The sequence below is a fragment of the Homo sapiens genome, chromosome 8 (assembly GCF_000001405.40).
Source record: "Homo sapiens chromosome 8, GRCh38.p14 Primary Assembly".
Classification (NCBI taxonomy): Eukaryota; Metazoa; Chordata; class Mammalia; order Primates; family Hominidae; genus Homo; species Homo sapiens.
This window is the reverse complement of record NC_000008.11, coordinates 18,164,527-18,166,678: the sequence shown is the minus strand read 5'-3', so window position 1 is coordinate 18,166,678 and position 2,152 is coordinate 18,164,527.

Sequence of the window (2,152 nt, the reverse complement as noted above, 5' to 3'; positions counted from 1 at the left end):
TAGTATTAGTTCCTTTTAAAAATGTCTGGTTAATTTAAATTCTGAAATTCAGCAGTGAAGCCATTAGGTCCCGGCTTTTCTTTGATGGGAGACTTTTTATTACTGTTTTGATTTCGTTGCTCATTGTCTGTTCATGTTTTGTATTGCTTCATGGTTCAATAGGGGTAGGTTGCATGTATGCAGGAATTTATCCATTTCTCCTAGGCTTTCCAATGTGTTGTCATACAGTTGTTCATAATATTCTCTAATTATCTTTTGTATTTCTGTGGTATCAATTGTGATGTCTCCTCTTTTGTCTCTGACCTTATTTATTTAGATATTTTAAAAAATTTAGCCTAGCTGAAGGTTTGTTGACTTTTTTACCTTTTCAAAAAGCTAAACTTTCAATGATCTGTGTATTGTTTCCCTACTCTCAATTGTATTTATTTCTGCTCTGATCTTTATCATTTCATTTCCTTCTACTAATCTTGGGTTTGGTTTGTTCTTGCTTTCCTAGTTTCCTTGAGGTACATTGTTAGGTTATTTATTTGAAGTCTTACTGTTTTTTTTGATGTCGGCATTTATTGCTATGAACATCCCTTGTGGTGCTTCTTTTGCTGCATTCAGTAGATTTGGTTTATTGTATTTCCATTTTAACTTGCTTTAAGATAATTTTAATTTTATTCTTAATTCTTCATTGACCCCTTGATTTTCAGGAGCATGATTTTTAAATTTCTCCATATTTGTACGGTTTCCAAAGTTCCTCTTGTTACTGATTTTTACTTTTATTCCATTGTGATCTGAGAAGATGCTTCATATGACTTTGACTTTGTTCAGGCTTGTTTTGTGGCCTAAAATATGATCTATCCTGAAGTATGTTTCATGTGCTGATGAGAAGAATGTATGTTTGGTATCAGTTGGATGAAATGTTCTGTAAATGTCAGTTAGGTCCACACAGTAAAGAATGCAGTTTAATTCTAATGTTTCTTTGTTAATTTTCTGTCTGGACAATCTGTCAGGGTGGGGTGTTGAAGTCTCCTACTATTATTGTATTGCAGTCTATCTTCACTTTTCTATCTATAATATTTGCTTTATATATTCAGGTGCTCCAATGTTGGGTGTATATACATTTACAATTGTTATATCCTCTTGCTGAATTGATCTTTTTATCATGGTATAATAGCCTTCTTTCCCTCTTTTTACAGTTTTTGATTTGAAGTTTATTTTATATAATATAAGGATAGCTACTACTGCTCTTTTATGGTTTTCATTTTTCATTTTTTCACTCTCTGTGTGTTTCTATAGATGAAGTTAGTTTCTTATAGGCAGCATATAGTTAGATCTTTTAAAAAATCTATTCAGCTACTGTATTTCTTTTAATTGGAGAATTCCATTTTCATTCAATGATATTATTGATAGGTAAGGAGTTAGTACTGCCATCACATTATTTTCTTTCTGGTTGCTTTGGAAGTCCTCTTCTCTTGTCTTCATTTCTTACTGTTCTCCTTTGTGGATATGTGATTTTCTCTCATAGTACGTCTTAATTCCCTACTTTTTATTAATCGTGTATCTATTATAGGTTTTTGCTTTGTGGTTACCATGAGGCTTGCAAAAAGATATCTTATAGTTATATTAAGTTATTTTAAATTTATGACAACTTATCCTTGATCACAAAGTAAAGAAATAAGCAAAGAAAAAAACAAAAGTTCACACTTTGACTTCATTCCTTCATCCCACATTTTGACTTTTTGTTTTCTCAATGTATGTATTTTCATATTTTTAAATCTTTTTTAATCTCTTAAAAATTGTTATAGTTTTTATTTCGATAAATTTGTCTTTTATTCCTCATACTAAAGATACAAGAGCCTTACATACTACGACTATACTATTAGAGTATTCTGAATTTATCTGTGTATTTACTTGTGAGTTATATTCCTCCAGATGTTTTCTTGTTGCATGTTAGCATTCTCTCTTCCATATTGAAGAAGTAGCATTTTTGTAAAACAGGTGGTGGTAATGAATTTCCCCAGTTTTTGCTTGTCTAACTAATTCTATGTGTCTTTTTGACGTAAGCAGGATAGCTTTGCTTGGTACACTATTTCTGGTTGGTAGTTTTTGTCCTTCAGCATTTTGAATATGTCATCCTACTCCCTCCTAACCCATAAGTTTTCCA